This window comes from Homo sapiens, chromosome X (genome assembly GCF_000001405.40).
Source record: "Homo sapiens chromosome X, GRCh38.p14 Primary Assembly".
In the NCBI taxonomy this organism is placed as follows: domain Eukaryota; kingdom Metazoa; phylum Chordata; class Mammalia; order Primates; family Hominidae; genus Homo; species Homo sapiens.
The window spans coordinates 50,295,780-50,311,737 of NC_000023.11; the positions used below are offsets into that span (position 1 = coordinate 50,295,780).

At 40.3% G+C, this 15,958-nt stretch overlaps 1 protein-coding gene across 10 annotated transcripts in view; it reads left to right on the forward strand.

The window, feature by feature from the left end:
• CCNB3 (cyclin B3) overlaps positions 1-15,958 on the forward strand; it is a 149,202-nt gene that overhangs the window by 93,067 nt on the left and 40,177 nt on the right. For 9 of the 10 annotated variants that reach the window (XM_017029915.1, XM_047442599.1, XM_047442600.1 and 6 more), the window contains one exon: positions 12,726-15,717. The exons of the other annotated variant lie outside the window; for it this stretch is intronic. In XM_017029915.1, the coding sequence (XP_016885404.1) occupies positions 12,726-15,717 (2,992 nt within the window). The remainder of the gene's footprint in view (positions 1-12,725; positions 15,718-15,958) is intronic. 10 annotated transcript variants of the gene reach the window in all.

Consider the following 15,958-nt stretch of genomic DNA (forward strand, 5'->3'; position numbering starts at 1 on the left):
TATTTAGCCAACACATACCAGTACTATTGTACTGGTTGTTTGATGCTAGCTTCCACTGTGATTGGTTGGTGCGGTGCCATACTGGTTGTGAGATGTTTGGATTATCACTCCTGGGAACACCAAAGGGTAAGCTAAAAAGACTGGGTAACTCTAGAAAATAACACGCACAGTCCACAGGATATTGTGCTAATTACCCAGCAGAAAGAAGATTAGCATTTAGCCTTACTTGGTTTCCTGCTGAAATGGAATTCTGGAGTTTGCATGCATATTTTGACCTCAATTCTCTGCGTTATTTTCTTTTGAATTTCTTTCATCATTCTGACTTTATTTTTTTATGTTTCTTTGTTTTTTTATTATTATTATTATTATACTTTAAGTTTTAGGATACATGTGCACAACGTGCAGGTTTGTTACATATGTACACATGTGCCATGTTGGTGTGCTGCACCCATTAACTCATTTAGCATTAGGTATATCTCCTAATGCTATCCCTCCCCTCTCCCCCGACCCCACAACAGTCCCCAGTGTGTGATGTTCCCCTTCCTGTGTCCATGTGTTCTCATTGTTCAATTCCCACCTATGAGTGAGAACATGCGGTGTTTGGTTTTTTGTCCTTGCGATAGTTTGCTGAGAATGAAGGTTTCCAGCTTCATCCATGTCCCTACAAAGGACATGAACTCATCATTTTTTATGGCTGCATAGTATTCCATGGTGTATATGTGCCACATTTTCTTAATCCAGTCTATCATTGTTGGACATTTGGCTTGGTTCCAAGTCTTTGCTATTGTGAATAGTGCTGCAATAAACATACATGTGCATGTGTCTTTATAGCAGCATGATTTCTAATCCTTTGGGTATATACCCAGTAATGGGATGGCTGGGTCAAATGGTATTTCTAGTTCTAGATCCCTGAGGAATCGCCACACTGACTTCCACAATGGTTGAACGAGTTTCCAGTCCCACCAACAGTGTAAAAGTGTTCCTATTTCTCCACATCCTCTCCAGCACCTGTTGTTTCCTGACTTTTTAATGATCGCCATTCTAACTGGTGTGAGATGGTATCTCATTGTGGTTTTGATTTGCATTTCTCTGATGGCCAGTGATGATGAGCATTTTTTCATGTGTTTTTTGGCTGCATAAATGTCTTCTTTTCAGAAATGTCTGTTCATATCCTTCACCCACTTTTTGATGGGGTTGTTTGCTTTTTTCTTGTAAATTTGTTTGAGTTCATTGTAGATTCTGGATATTAGCCCTTTGTCAGATGAGTAGGTTGCAAAAATTTTCTCCCATTCTGTAGGTTTCCTGTTCACTCTGATGGTGGTTTCTTTTGCTGTGCAGAAGCTCTTTAGTTTAATTAGATCCCATTTGTCAATTTTGGCTTCTGTTGCCATTGCTTTTGGTGTTTTAGACATGAAATCCTTGCCCATGCCTATGTCCTGAATGGTATTGCCTAGGTTTTCTTCTAGGGTTTTTATGGTTTTAGGTCTAACATTTAAGTCTTTAATCCATCTTGAATTAATTTTTGTATAAGGTGAAAGGAAGGGATCCAGTTTCAGCTTTCTACATATGGCTAGCCAGTTTTCCCAGCACCATTTATTAAATAGGGAATCCTTTCCCCATTGCTTGTTTTTGTCAGGTTTGTCAAAGATCAGATAGTTGTTGATGTGTGGTATTATTTCTGAGGGCTCTGTTCTGTTCCATTGGTCTATATCTCTGTTTTGGTACCAGTACCATGCTGTTTTGGTTACTATAGCCTTGTAGTATAGTTTGAAGTCAGGTAGCGTGATGCCTCCAGCTTTGTTCTTTTGGCTTAGGATTGACTTGTCAATGCGGGCTCTTTTTTGGTTCCATATGAACTTTAAAGTAGTTTTTTTCCAATTCTGTGAAGAAAGTCATTGGTAGCTTGATGGGGATGGCATTGAATCTCTAAATTACCTTGGACAGTATGGCCATTTTCACAATATTGATTCTTCCTACCCATGAGCATGGAATGTTCTTCCATTTGTTTGTATCCTCTTTTATTTCATTGAGCAGTGGTTTGTAGTTCTTCTTGAAAAGGTCCTTCACATCCCTTGTAAGTTGGATTCCTAGGTATTTTATTCTCTTTGAAGCAATTGTGAATGGGAGTTCACTCATGATTTGGCTCTCTGTTTGTCTGTTATTGGTGTATAAGAATACTTGTGATTTTTGCACATGGATTTTGTATCCTGAGAATTTGCTGAAGTTGCTTATTAGCTTAAGGAGATTTTGGGCTGAGACAATGGGGTTTTCTAGATATACAATCATGTCATCTGCAAACAGGGACAATTTGACTTCCTCTTTTCCTAATTGAATGCCCTTTATTTCCTTCTGCTGCCTGATTGCCCTGGCCAGAACTTCCAACACTATGTTGAATAGGAGTGGTGAGAGAGGGCATCCCTGTCTTGTGCCAGTTTTCAAAGGGAATGCTTCCAGTTTTTGTCCATTCAGTATGATATTGGCTGTGGGTTTGTCACAGATATCTCTTATTATTTTGAGATACGTCCCATCAATACCTAATTTATTGAGAGTTTTTAGCATGAAGGGTTGTTGAATTTTGTCAAAGGCCTTTTCTGCATCTATTGAGATAATCATGTGGTTTTTGTCTTTGGTTCTGTTTAAATGCTGGATTACGTTTATTGATTTTCATATGTTGAACCAGCCTTGCATCCCAGGGATGAAGCCCACTTGATCATGGTGGATAAGCTTTTTGCTGTGCTGCTGGATTCCTTTTGCCAGTATTTTATTGAGGATTTTTGCATCGATGTTCATCAAAGATATTGGTCTAAAATTCTCTTTTTTTGTTGTGTCTCTGCCAGGCTTTGGTATCAGAATGATGCTGGCCTCATAAAATGAGTTAGGGAGGATTCCCTCTTTTTCTATTGATTGGAATAGTTTCAGAAGGAATGGTACCAGCTCCTCCTTGTACCTCTGGTAGAATTCGGCTGTGAATCCATCTGGTCCTGGACTTTTTTTGGTTGGTAAGCTATTAATTATTGCCTCAATTTCAGAGTCTGTTATTTGTCTATTCAGAGATTCAACTTCTTCCTGATTTAGTCTTGGGAGAGTGTATGTGTCGAAAAATTTATCCATTTCTTCTAGAATTTCTAGTTTATTTGTGTAGAGGTGTTTATAGTATTCTCTGATGGTAGTTTGTATTTCTGTGGGATCGGTGGTGATATCCCCTTTGTCATTTTTTATTGCGTCTATTTGATTCTTCTCTGTTTTCTTCTTTATTATTCTTGCTAGCGGTCTATCAATTTTGTTGATCTTTTCAAAAAACCAGCTCCTGGATTCATTGATTTTTTGAAGGGATTTTTGTGTCTCTATTGCCTTCATTTCTGCTCTGATCTTGGTTGTTTCTTGCCTTCTGCTAGCTTTTGAATGTGTTTGCTCTTACTTCTCTAGTTCTTTTAATTGTGATGTTAGGGTGTCCATTTTAGATCTTTCCTGCTTTCTCTTGCGGGCATTTAGTGCTATAAATTTCCCTCTACACACTGCTTTGAATGTGTCCCATAGATTCTGGTATGTTGTGTCTTTGTTCTCGTTGGTTTCAAAGAACATCTTTATTTCTGCCTTAATTTTGCTATTTACCCAGTAGTCATTCAGGAGCAGGTTGTTCAGTTTCCATGTAGTTGAACGGTTTTGAGTGAGTTTCTTAATCCTGAGTTCTAGTTTGATTGCACTGTGGTCTGAGAGACAGTTTGTTATAGTTTCTGTTCTTTACCATTTGCTGAGGAGTGCTTTACTTCCAACTATGTGGTCAATTTTGGAATAGGTGTGGTGTGGTGCTGAAAAGAATATATATTCTGTTGATTTTGGGTGGAGAGTTCTGTAGATGTCTACTAGATCCACTTGGTGCAGAGCTGAGTTCAATTCCTGGATATCCTTGTTAACTTTCTGTCTCATTGATCTGTCTAATGTTGACAGTGGGGTGTTAAAGTCTCCCATTATTATTGTGTGGGAGTCTAAGTCTCTTTGTAGGTCACTAAGGACTTGCTTTATGAATCTGAGTCCTCCTGTATTGGGTGCATATATATTTAGGATAGTTAGTTCTTCTTGTTGAATTGATCCCTTTACCATTATGTAATGGCCTTCTTTGTCTCTTTTGATCTTTGTTGGTTTAAAGTCTGTTTTATGAGAGACTAGGATTGCAACCCCTGCCTTTTTTTGTTTTCCATTTGCTTGGTAGATCTTCCTCCATCCCTTTATTTTGAGCCTGTGTGTATCTCTGCCCATGAGATGGGTTTCCTGAATAGAGCACACTGATGGGTATTGACTCTTTATCCACTTTGCCAGTCTGTGCCTTTTAATTGGAGCATTTACCCCATTTACATTTAAGGTTAGTATTGTTATGTGTGAATTTGATCCTGTCATTATGATGTTAGTTGGTTATTTTGCTCATTAGTTGGTGCAGTTTCTTCCTATCCTTGACGGTCTTTACAATTTGGCATGTTTTTGCAGTGGCTGGTACCGGTTGTTCCTTTCCATGTTTAGTGCTTCCTTCAGGAGCTCTTTTAGGGCAGGCCTGGTGGTGACAAAATCTCTCAGCATTTGCTTGTCTGTAAAGGATTTTATTTCTCCTTTGCTTATGAAGCTTAGTTTGGGTGGATATGAAATTCTGGGTTGAAAATTCTTTTCTTTAAGAATGTTGAATATTGGCCCCCACTCTCTTCCGGCTTGTAGAGTTTCTGCCGAGAGATCTGCTGTAAGTCTGATGGGCTTCCCTTTGTGGGTAACCCGACCTTTCTCTCTGGCTGCCCTTAACATTTTTTCCTTCATTTCAACTTTGGTGAATCTTACAATAATGTGTCTTGGAGTTGCTCTTCTCGAGGAGTATCTTTGTGGCGTTCTCTGTATTTCCTGAATTTGAATGTTGGCCTGCCTTGCTAGATTGGGGAAGTTCTCCTGGATAATATCCTGCAGAGTGTTTTCCATCTTGGTTCCATTCTCCCTGTCACTTTCAGGTACAGCAATTAGGCGTAGATTTGGTCTTTTCACATAGTCCCATATTTCTTGGAGGCTTTGTTCATTTCTTTGTATTCTTTTTCTCTAAACTTCTCTTCATGCTTCATTTCATTCATTTCGTCTTCCGTTGCTGATACCCTTTCTTCCAGTTGATCGCCTTGTTTACTGAGGCTTGTGCATTCGTCACGTAGTTCTCGTGCCATGGTTTTCAGCTCCATCAGGTCCTTTAAGGACTTCTCTGCATTGGTTATTCTAGTTAGCCATTCGTCTATTTTTTTTTTCAAAGTTTTTAACTTCTTTGCCATTGGTTCGGACTTCCTCCTTTAGCTCAGAGTAGTTTGATCTTCTGAGGCCTTCTTCTCTCAACTCGTCAAAGTCATTCTCCATCCAGCTTTGTTCTGTTGCTGGTGAGGAGCTGTGTTCCTTTGGAGGAGGAGAGGCGCTCTGATTTTTAGAGTTTCCAGTTTTTCTGCTCTGTTTTTTCCCCATCTTTGTGGTTTTATCTGCCTTTGGTCTTTGGTGATGGTGATGTACAGATGGGTTTTTGGTGTGGATGTCCTTTCTGTTTGTTAGTTTTCCTTCTAACAGTCAGGACCCTCAGCTGCAGGTCTGTTGGAGTTTGCTGGAGGTCCACTCCAGACCCTGTTTGCCTGGGTATCAGCAGCGGTGGCTGCAGAACAGCAGATATTGGTGAACCGCAAATGTTGCTGCCTGATTGTTCCTCTGGAAGTTTTGTCTCAGAGGAGTACCTGGCCGTGTGAGGTGTCAGTCCGCCCCTACTTGGGGGTGCCTCCCAGTTAGGCTACTCAGGGGTCAGGGACCCACTTGATGAGGCAGTCTGCCCGTTCTCAGATCTCAAGCTGCGTGCTGGGAGAACCACTACTCTCTTCAAAGCTGTCAGACAGGGACATTTAAGTCTGCAGAGGTTATTGCTATCTTTTGTTTGTCTGTGCCCTGCCCCCAGAGGTGGAGCCTACAGAGGCAGGCAGGCCTCCTTGAGCTGTGATGGGCTCCACCCAGTTCGAGCTTCCTGGCTGCTTTGCTTACCTACTCAAGCCTGGGCAATGGCAGGTGCCCCTCCCCCAGGCTTGCTGCTGCCTTGCAGTTTGATCTCAGACTGCTGTGCTAGCAATAAGCGAGGCTCTGTGGGCATAGGACCCTCCGAGCCATGTGCGGGATATAATCTCCTGGTGTGCCATTTGTTAAGCCTGTTGGAAAAGCGCAGTATTAGGGTGGGAGTGACCGGATTTTCCAGGTGCCATCTGTCACCCCTTTCTTTGACTAGGAAAGGGAATTCCCTGACCCCTTGCACTTCCTGGGTGAGGTGATGCTTCACCCTGCTTCAACTCGTGCATGGTGCGCTGCACCCACTGTCCTGCACCCACTGTCTGGCACTCCCCAGTGAGGTGAATCTGGTACCTCAGTTGGAAATGCAGAAATCACCCGTCTTCTGCGTTGCTCATGCTGGGAGCTGTAGACTGGAGCTGTTCCTATTTGGCTATCTTGTCTCCACCATCATTCTGACTTTAGCAGGGCAATCCTCACAAATGCCATAAACATTCTTCTCTTCACTCAGGGTTCAGTGGAAAGGACCCTAATAATAGTAGGAAAACTAGTAATAGCTGCCATTTACTGAGAGCTCACTGTGATCACAGAAGTATAATCATTAAGTCTTTATTTTTTTTAGTAACAGCTTTATTGAGATATAATTTGCATACCAAACAGTTCACCCATTTAAAGTATACAATTCAATGGTATTTAGTATATTCACAGTTATACAGCCATGACAATCAATTTTAGGACATTTTCATTAACTCCAAAGAAACCCTGTACCTTTGGTTATCACCTCTCAATACCCCCAACCTGCCCAGCTTTGGGCAACCACTAATCTTACTTTCTATATAGATTTCCCTATTCTGGATGTTTCATATAAATGGAATTAGACAATGTGTGGTCTTTTGTGTCTAGCTTCTTTCACTTAGCATGTTTTTGAGGTTATCCGTGTCATAGCAGGTTGTCAGTACTTCATTTCTTTTTATTGCCAAGTAATATTTCATTGCATATATACAACACATTTGGTTTACCCATCTATCAGTTGATAGATATTTGCATTGTTTCTACCTTTTGGTTATTGTGAATAGTGCTGCTATTGAATATTTGTGTATACCTTTTTGTTTGAAAACTTGTTTTCAATTCTTTTGTGTATATACTTAGGAGTGTGGTTGCTGGGTCATATGGTAATTCTGTGCTCCATGTATTGAGGAACTGCCAAGCTGTATTCCATAGTGGCTACGCCATTTTACATTTCCTCCAGCAGTGTATTTACTGGAGGAAATGTAAAATGGTATAGCCACTGTGGAATGGTGGCAGTGTTGTGTTTTTGTTTTTGTTTTTCCTTGAGACAGAGTCTCACTCTGTCACCCAGGCTAGAAGGAAATGGTGCAATCTTGGCTCACTGCAAACTCTGCCTCCTGGATTCCAGTGGTTCTCGTGCCTCAGCCTCCTGAGTAGCTGGGATTACAGGTGCCCACAACCACCTCCGGCTAATTTTTATATTTTTAGTGGAGATGGGGTTTTGCCACATTGGCCAGGCTGGTCTCAAACTCCTGACCTCAGGTGATCTGCCTGCCTCGGCCTCCCAAAGTGCTGGGATTACAGGAGTGAGCCACCATGCCCAGCTGGCAGTGTTTTTTTTTTTTTTAAACACCCATCATGGTGGGTGTGAAGTGGTATCTCATTGTGGTTTTTAGGTTTGCATTTCTCTGACTAATGATGTTGAGCATCATTTATGTACTTATTGGCTATTTGGTACTTCTTTGGAGGAATGTCTGTTTGGATCTTTTGCCCATTTTTTTATGCTTTTATTTCTTAATTTTTTAATTTTATTTTTAATTGACATATAATAATCGTAAATAATTGTTGGTCTTTGTATTGTTGAGTTGTAAGAGTTCTTTATATATTTTAGATACAAGTCCCTGATCAGATACGAGTTGCAAATATTTTCATCCATTTTTTGGGTTATCTTTTCACTTTGTTGATGATGTCCTTTGAAGTACAGAAATTTTTAATTCTGAAGAAGTCTAATTTGTTTTTTCTTTTGTTGTTTATGATTTTGATGTCATGCCTAAGAAACCACTGCCAAATCCCAGGTTAAGAAAATTTACACCTGTTTTCTTCTAAGAATTTTAAAGTTTTAGCTCTTAACTTAGGGTTTTGATCTATTTTCAGTTAATTTTTATTGGTGGTGTGTATTAGGAGCCTTAACTTCATTGTTTTGAGTGTGGATGTCCAGTTTTTCCAGCACTATTTGTTGAGAAAACTAACCTTTCTTAATTGTCTTGGCACCCTTCTTGGAAATCAGTTGACCATAAATGTGTTTATATATGGACTCTCAATTTTATTCCATTTATCTGTATGTCTCTCATTAACTATCATTATGCCAGTACCATATTGTCTTGATTATTGCAGCTTCATGTTGTGTTTTGAAATTGGGAAGTGTGACTCCTCCAAATTTTGTTCTTCTTTTTCAAGATTGTTTTGACTATTTTGGGTTCCTTGCAATTCTATATAAATTTTAGAATCAGCTTGTCACAACTATCTGATCTTTGACAAACCTGACAAAAACAAGAAATGGGGAAATGATTCCCTATTTAATAAATGGTGCTGGGAAAACTGGCTAGCCATATGTAGAAAGCTGAAACTGGATCCCTTCCTTACACCTTATACAAAAATTAATTCAAGATGGATTAAAGACTTAAATGTTAGACCTGAAACCATACAAATCCTAGAAGAAAACCTAGGCAGTACCATTCAGGACATAGGCATGGGCAAGGACTTCATGTCTAAAACACCAAAAGCAATGGCAACCAAAGCCAAAATTGACAAATGGGATCTAATTAAACTAAAAGAGCTCCTGCACAGCAAAAGAAACTACCGTCAGAGTGAACAGGCAACCTAGAGAATGGGAGAAAATTTTTGCAATCTACTCATCTGACAAAGGGCTAATATCCAGAATCTACAATGAACTCAAACAAATTTACAAGAAAAAAACAAACAACCCCATCAACAAGTAGGCGAAGGATATGAACAGACACTTCTCAAAAGAAGACATTTATGCAGCCAAAAGACACATGAAAAAATGCTCATTATCACTGGCCATCAGAGAAATGCAAATCAAAACCATAATGAGATACCATCTCACACCAGTTAGAATGGCGATCATTAAAAAGTCAGGAAACAACAGGTGCTGGAGAGGATGTGGAGAAATAGGAACACTTTTACACTGTTGGTGGGACTGGAAACTAGTTCAACCCTTGTGGAAGTCAGTGTGGCGATTCCTCAGGGATCTAGAACTAGAAATACCATTTGACCCAGCCATCCCATTACTGGGTATATACCCAAAGGATTAGAAATCATGCTGCTATAAAGACACATGCACATATATATTTATTGCAGCACTATTCACAATAGCAAAGACTTGGAACCAACCCAAGTGTCCAACAATGATAGACTGGATTAAGAAAATGTGGCATATATACACCATGGAATACTATGCAGCCATAAAAAATGATGAGTTCATGTCCTTTGTAGGGACATGGATGAAGCTGGAAACCACTGTTCTCAGCAAACTATCGCAAGGACAAGAAACCAAACACCGCATGTTCTCACTCATAGGTGGGAATTGAACAATGAAAACACATGGACACAGGAAGGGGAACATCACACACCGGGGACTGTTGTGGGGTCGGGGAAGAGGGGAGGGATAGCATTAGGAGATATACCTAATGTTAAATGACGAGTTAATGGGTGCAGCACACCAACATGGCACATGTGTACATACGTAACTCACCTGCACGTTCTGCACATGTACCCTAAAACTTAAAGTATATTAAAAAAAAAGAATCAGCTTGTCAATTTCTACAAACAAGCTAGCTGGGATTCTTGTACAAATTGCCTTGGATCTGTGGATCAACTTGGGAAGTATTGATATGGGTTTTTTTTTCTTTCTTTCTTTTTTTTTTTTTTTTTTTTGACGGAGTCTTGCTCTGCCACCGAGGCTGGAGTGTGGTGGTGCAATCTTGGCTCACTCTAACCTCCACCTCCCAGGTTCAAGTGATTCTCATGCCTCAGCCTTCCTGAGTAGCTGGGATTACAGGTGTGTGGCCACCACACCAGCTTTTTTTTTTTTTTTTTCGTATTTTTGTAGAGACATGGTTTCACTATGTTGGGCAGGCTGGTCTCGAACTCCTGACCTGAAGTGATCTGCCTGCCTCGACTCCCAAAGTACTGGGATTACAGGCTTGAGCTACTGTGCCCAGCCTGACATCTTAACAATATTAAGTTTTCTAATTCATGAATATGGATGTCTATCTATTTAGATATTTAGTTTTTTGAATGGTTTTTTACAGTTTCCAGAGTATAAGTTTTATGTTTGTTAAATTTATTTCTAAGCATTTTCTTCTTCTTGATACTATTGTAAATGGAATTGTTTACTTAATTTCATTTTCAGATTATTCATTGCAAGTATACAGAAAGACATTTGATTTTTGTATATTGATTTTGTGTCCTGGAATCTTGCTGAAGTTGTTCGTTCTAATAGTTTTCTGTGTGTATTCCTTAGGATTTTCTCTATATAAGATCATGTCATCTGTGAATACAGATATTTTTACTTTTCCAAACTGGATGACTTTTATTTAGTTTTCTTGCCTACTTGCCCTAGCTACAACCTCTAGTATAATGTTGAATAGAAGTATCAAGAGTTGGACATTCTTGTTTTCTCCCTGATCTTAGGGGGAAAGTATCAGTCTTTCACCATCAAGTACGATGTTTGCTTTGGGTTTTTTTGTAGATGCCCTTTATCAGGTTGAGGAACCTCCTTTCTATTCCTTGTTTGTTAAGTGCTTTTTATCATGAAAGAGGGTTAGATTTAGTCAAATGATTTTCCTGGATCTTTTGAGATGATCATGTCGTTTTTGTTTTCTATTCTATTAATGTGATGTAGTATGCAAATTGAATTTTGAGTGTTAAATTAATTTTGCATTCCTGGTATAAATTCCACTTGTTTATGGTGTATAATCCTTTTATATGTTGCTGGATTTGGTTTGCAGTATTTGGCTGAGGATTTTTGCATCTATATTCATAAGAGGTATTGGTCTGTAGTTTTCTAGTGGTGTCTGTCTGTTTTCGTTATCAGAGTAATACTGACCTCATATAATGAGTTAGAAACTTCACATTTTTTGTGTTTCTTTGAAGAGTTAATGAAGAACTGGTATTAATTATTGTTTAAATGTTTGGATGGAATTGAAGCCATTTGGGCCTGGACTTTACTTTGTGAGTAGTTTTTGATTATTGATTTGATATCTTGTTATAGGTCTATTCAGATTTTCTGTTTTCTTCTTGAGTCAGTTTTGGTAGTTTGTGTCTTCCTAGGAATTTGTCCATTTCATCTCAATTATCTAATTTATTGACATTCAATTGTTCATAACGTGCCTTTAAGTGTTTTTGAGCATACTAATTTGTTGAATCTTCACAATAAGCCTATGAAGGAGATATTATGATCCTCATTTTATAGGTGAAAAAAACTGAAGCACAGAGAGTTAACTTGCCCAAGGTCACCCAGTCAGTAAGTTGGAGGAGCCAGGATTTGAATCCAGGCAGTCTAGCTCCAGAATGCATGTTCTTACCATAGCTAGACTATCTAAAGATCTTCTCTAAAAGTTATCAGGAGGGACCTGGAATCTATCTGGTCAAGCAGAACCTTTTGAAGCACTTTTTTTTTCTTAACAAATCAGTGGTTTTTCATTCTATTCCTGGATTTGTACAGCTATCACCACTATCTAATTTTAGAACTTTTTCAATACCCCCCGTCCACTAAATCCATACCTATTAGGAGTTCTTTTCCCTTCCTAATCCCCCTTTCTACTCCTACCCCTGTCCCAGCCTCAGGAAACCACTAGTCTACTTTCTGCTGTGGATATACCTCTATGGGTATGTCCATTTTGCATATTTCATATTGAACTAAATCATATGATATCTGGTCTTTAGAAGGTATTTACTCCTGCTCAGATTGGTGATTATATCTGCCTGAAATTCTCTCTCTTCTTATTCTGAACTTTAGTCTTTCTGTGATTTTGTCTCACTAGATTCATCACTCTAATTGAATATACAATCCTATTCAAAACAAAGCTTTGCATCTGGCACATGTGACAAGTTTCTATTTTGAGCTTTTTATTACCTCCATTGGGAAAACATCTCCTTAATAGTCCAGGGTGAGGGGAATGTAGTTAGATTCTACCAAAGTTAATTACCAGCCCATCTCTCTCATTAGCCTTCAAACAATGTTAATTTCAACCTGAAGTTTACCAGCTGCCTTGGGTTGATAGACAAAGACAAATGCAGCTAGTGAAGGAGACTGATGTATGAACAAGTAACTCATACAATGTGATAAGTATTATAAAAGCCTTTGTATATAAGGTAATGAAGCATATATAAGAAAGCATAACATGAATTTCTATGGAAAAATTATAGAAAAGTGTAGGTATCTAGGCCATAGAAACTATACAGTGTACTACTTAAGTTGATTGACCATGGTACCTACTGATTTTGTCCCTCTAATCTGTCTTATGGGGTTGAAGCCCCTTCCCCTTTCATACCTTTAGTAAATATAGCAACAAAAGGAAATGGTAGGTGAGGATTCTAGGAACTACATTTTTCTTACCCAGACATTGTTTCCTTCACAGGCATAAGCTGGAAGTCACACCAGTAGTAGCCTCTACTACCGTGGTACCAAACATTATGGAGAAACCACTCATTCTAGACATATCCACCACCTCCAAAACACCCAACACTGAGGAGGCATCTCTCTTCAGAAAGCCATTAGTTTTAAAGGAGGAACCCACTATTGAGGATGAAACCCTTATCAATAAGTCATTATCTTTAAAAAAGTGCTCAAATCATGAGGAGGTGTCCTTACTGGAAAAGCTACAGCCCCTGCAGGAGGAGAGTGACAGTGATGATGCGTTTGTTATAGAGCCAATGACTTTTAAGAAGACACATAAAACTGAGGAGGCAGCCATCACCAAGAAGACATTATCCTTAAAGAAGAAGATGTGTGCAAGTCAGCGGAAGCAGTCCTGCCAGGAAGAGTCGTTGGCTGTGCAGGATGTCAATATGGAAGAGGATTCCTTCTTTATGGAGTCAATGAGTTTTAAGAAGAAGCCTAAAACTGAGGAGTCAATCCCCACCCATAAGTTATCATCTTTAAAGAAGAAATGTACCATTTATGGGAAGATATGCCACTTTAGGAAGCCACCAGTATTGCAGACAACCATCTGTGGAGCAATGTCCTCCATTAAGAAGCCTACCACTGAGAAGGAGACACTTTTCCAAGAGCTATCTGTATTGCAAGAGAAACACACCACTGAGCATGAGATGTCCATCTTGAAGAAATCATTGGCCTTGCAGAAGACCAACTTTAAAGAGGATTCCCTTGTTAAGGAGTCGTTAGCCTTTAAGAAGAAGCCTAGCACTGAGGAGGCAATCATGATGCCAGTAATATTGAAGGAGCAGTGCATGACTGAGGGGAAGAGGTCCCGTCTGAAGCCATTAGTATTGCAGGAGATCACCTCTGGAGAGAAGTCGCTCATTATGAAGCCATTGTCCATTAAAGAAAAGCCATCTACTGAGAAGGAGTCCTTTTCCCAGGAACCATCTGCATTGCAAAAGAAGCACACCACTCAGGAGGAGGTTTCCATCTTAAAGGAGCCCTCGTCCTTGCTAAAGTCTCCAACTGAGGAGTCACCTTTTGATGAGGCTTTGGCTTTTACAAAGAAGTGTACCATTGAGGAGGCACCCCCCACCAAGAAGCCTTTAATTTTAAAGAGGAAGCATGCCACTCAGGGGACAATGTCCCACTTGAAGAAACCACTAATATTACAGACCACCTCTGGAGAAAAGTCACTTATTAAGGAGCCACTGCCCTTTAAAGAAGAAAAAGTGTCTTTAAAGAAAAAGTGTACCACACAAGAGATGATGTCCATCTGTCCAGAACTGTTGGACTTTCAGGATATGATTGGTGAAGATAAGAATTCTTTCTTTATGGAGCCAATGTCATTTAGGAAGAACCCTACAACTGAGGAGACAGTACTTACCAAGACATCGTTGTCTTTACAGGAAAAGAAAATTACTCAGGGGAAGATGTCCCACTTAAAGAAGCCACTGGTCTTGCAGAAGATCACTTCTGAGGAGGAGTCATTCTATAAGAAGCTGTTGCCCTTTAAGATGAAATCTACAACGGAAGAAAAGTTCCTCTCCCAGGAACCATCTGCATTGAAAGAGAAGCATACCACCTTGCAGGAAGTGTCCCTCTCAAAAGAGTCATTGGCCATCCAAGAGAAGGCTACCACTGAGGAGGAATTCTCTCAGGAACTATTTTCATTGCATGTTAAGCATACCAACAAAAGTGGGTCCCTCTTCCAGGAGGCTTTGGTCTTGCAAGAGAAGACTGATGCCGAAGAGGATTCCTTGAAGAACTTGTTGGCTTTGCAGGAGAAAAGCACCATGGAAGAAGAGTCCCTTATCAATAAGCTATTGGCTCTGAAGGAGGAGCTTTCTGCTGAGGCAGCCACAAACATACAGACACAATTATCTTTAAAGAAGAAGTCCACTTCTCATGGAAAAGTGTTCTTCCTGAAGAAGCAGTTGGCTTTGAATGAGACCATCAATGAAGAGGAGTTCCTTAATAAGCAGCCACTGGCCTTGGAGGGGTATCCCAGCATTGCGGAGGGGGAGACCCTCTTCAAGAAGCTTTTGGCCATGCAGGAGGAGCCCAGCATTGAGAAGGAAGCTGTCCTCAAGGAGCCCACTATTGACACAGAAGCTCACTTTAAGGAACCTTTGGCCTTGCAGGAGGAGCCCAGCACTGAGAAGGAGGCTGTCCTCAAGGAGCCCAGTGTTGACACAGAAGCTCACTTTAAGGAAACTTTGGCCTTGCAGGAGAAGCCCAGCATTGAGCAGGAGGCCCTCTTTAAGCGACACTCAGCTTTGTGGGAGAAGCCCAGCACTGAGAAGGAGACCATCTTCAAGGAGTCTTTGGACTTGCAAGAGAAGCCCAGCATTAAGAAAGAGACCCTCCTCAAAAAGCCATTAGCCTTGAAGATGTCTACCATCAATGAGGCAGTCCTCTTCGAAGATATGATAGCTCTGAATGAGAAACCCACCACTGGGAAGGAGTTGTCCTTCAAGGAGCCATTAGCCTTACAAGAGAGTCCCACCTACAAGGAAGACACCTTTCTCAAAACATTGTTGGTCCCCCAAGTTGGAACCAGCCCAAATGTGTCTAGCACTGCCCCTGAATCCATAACCAGCAAGTCCAGCATTGCTACCATGACCAGTGTGGGCAAATCTGGTACCATCAATGAGGCATTCCTCTTCGAAGATATGATAACTCTGAATGAGAAACCCACCACTGGGAAGGAGTTGTCCTTCAAGGAGCCATTGGCCTTACAAGAGAGTCCCACCTGCAAGGAAGACACCTTTCTGGAAACATTCTTGATCCCCCAAATTGGAACCAGCCCATATGTGTTTAGCACCACCCCTGAATCCATAACAGAGAAGTCCAGCATTGCAACCATGACCAGCGTGGGCAAGTCCAGGACCACCACCGAGTCCAGTGCATGTGAATCTGCTTCTGATAAACCTGTCTCACCACAGGCCAAGGGAACACCAAAGGAGGTATTCATCTCCCTTTCTTCTTAAATTAGATAAATTGTTCTTTGATATCCTGGAGGTGGCTGCTAGCAAAGTTGTTTTTTTTTTTTTGTTTTTGTTTTTTGTTGTTGTTGTTGTTTTTTTGCCTTCCTAAGCAGTTGAGCCATATATAGTAAGTTATTGAGAGTATCCCTCTACCTAGTGAGAGGGTGATATTTCTTAGGTTTACTTCTGGTTTTATTTAATGATAGGTGATGCAGAATCA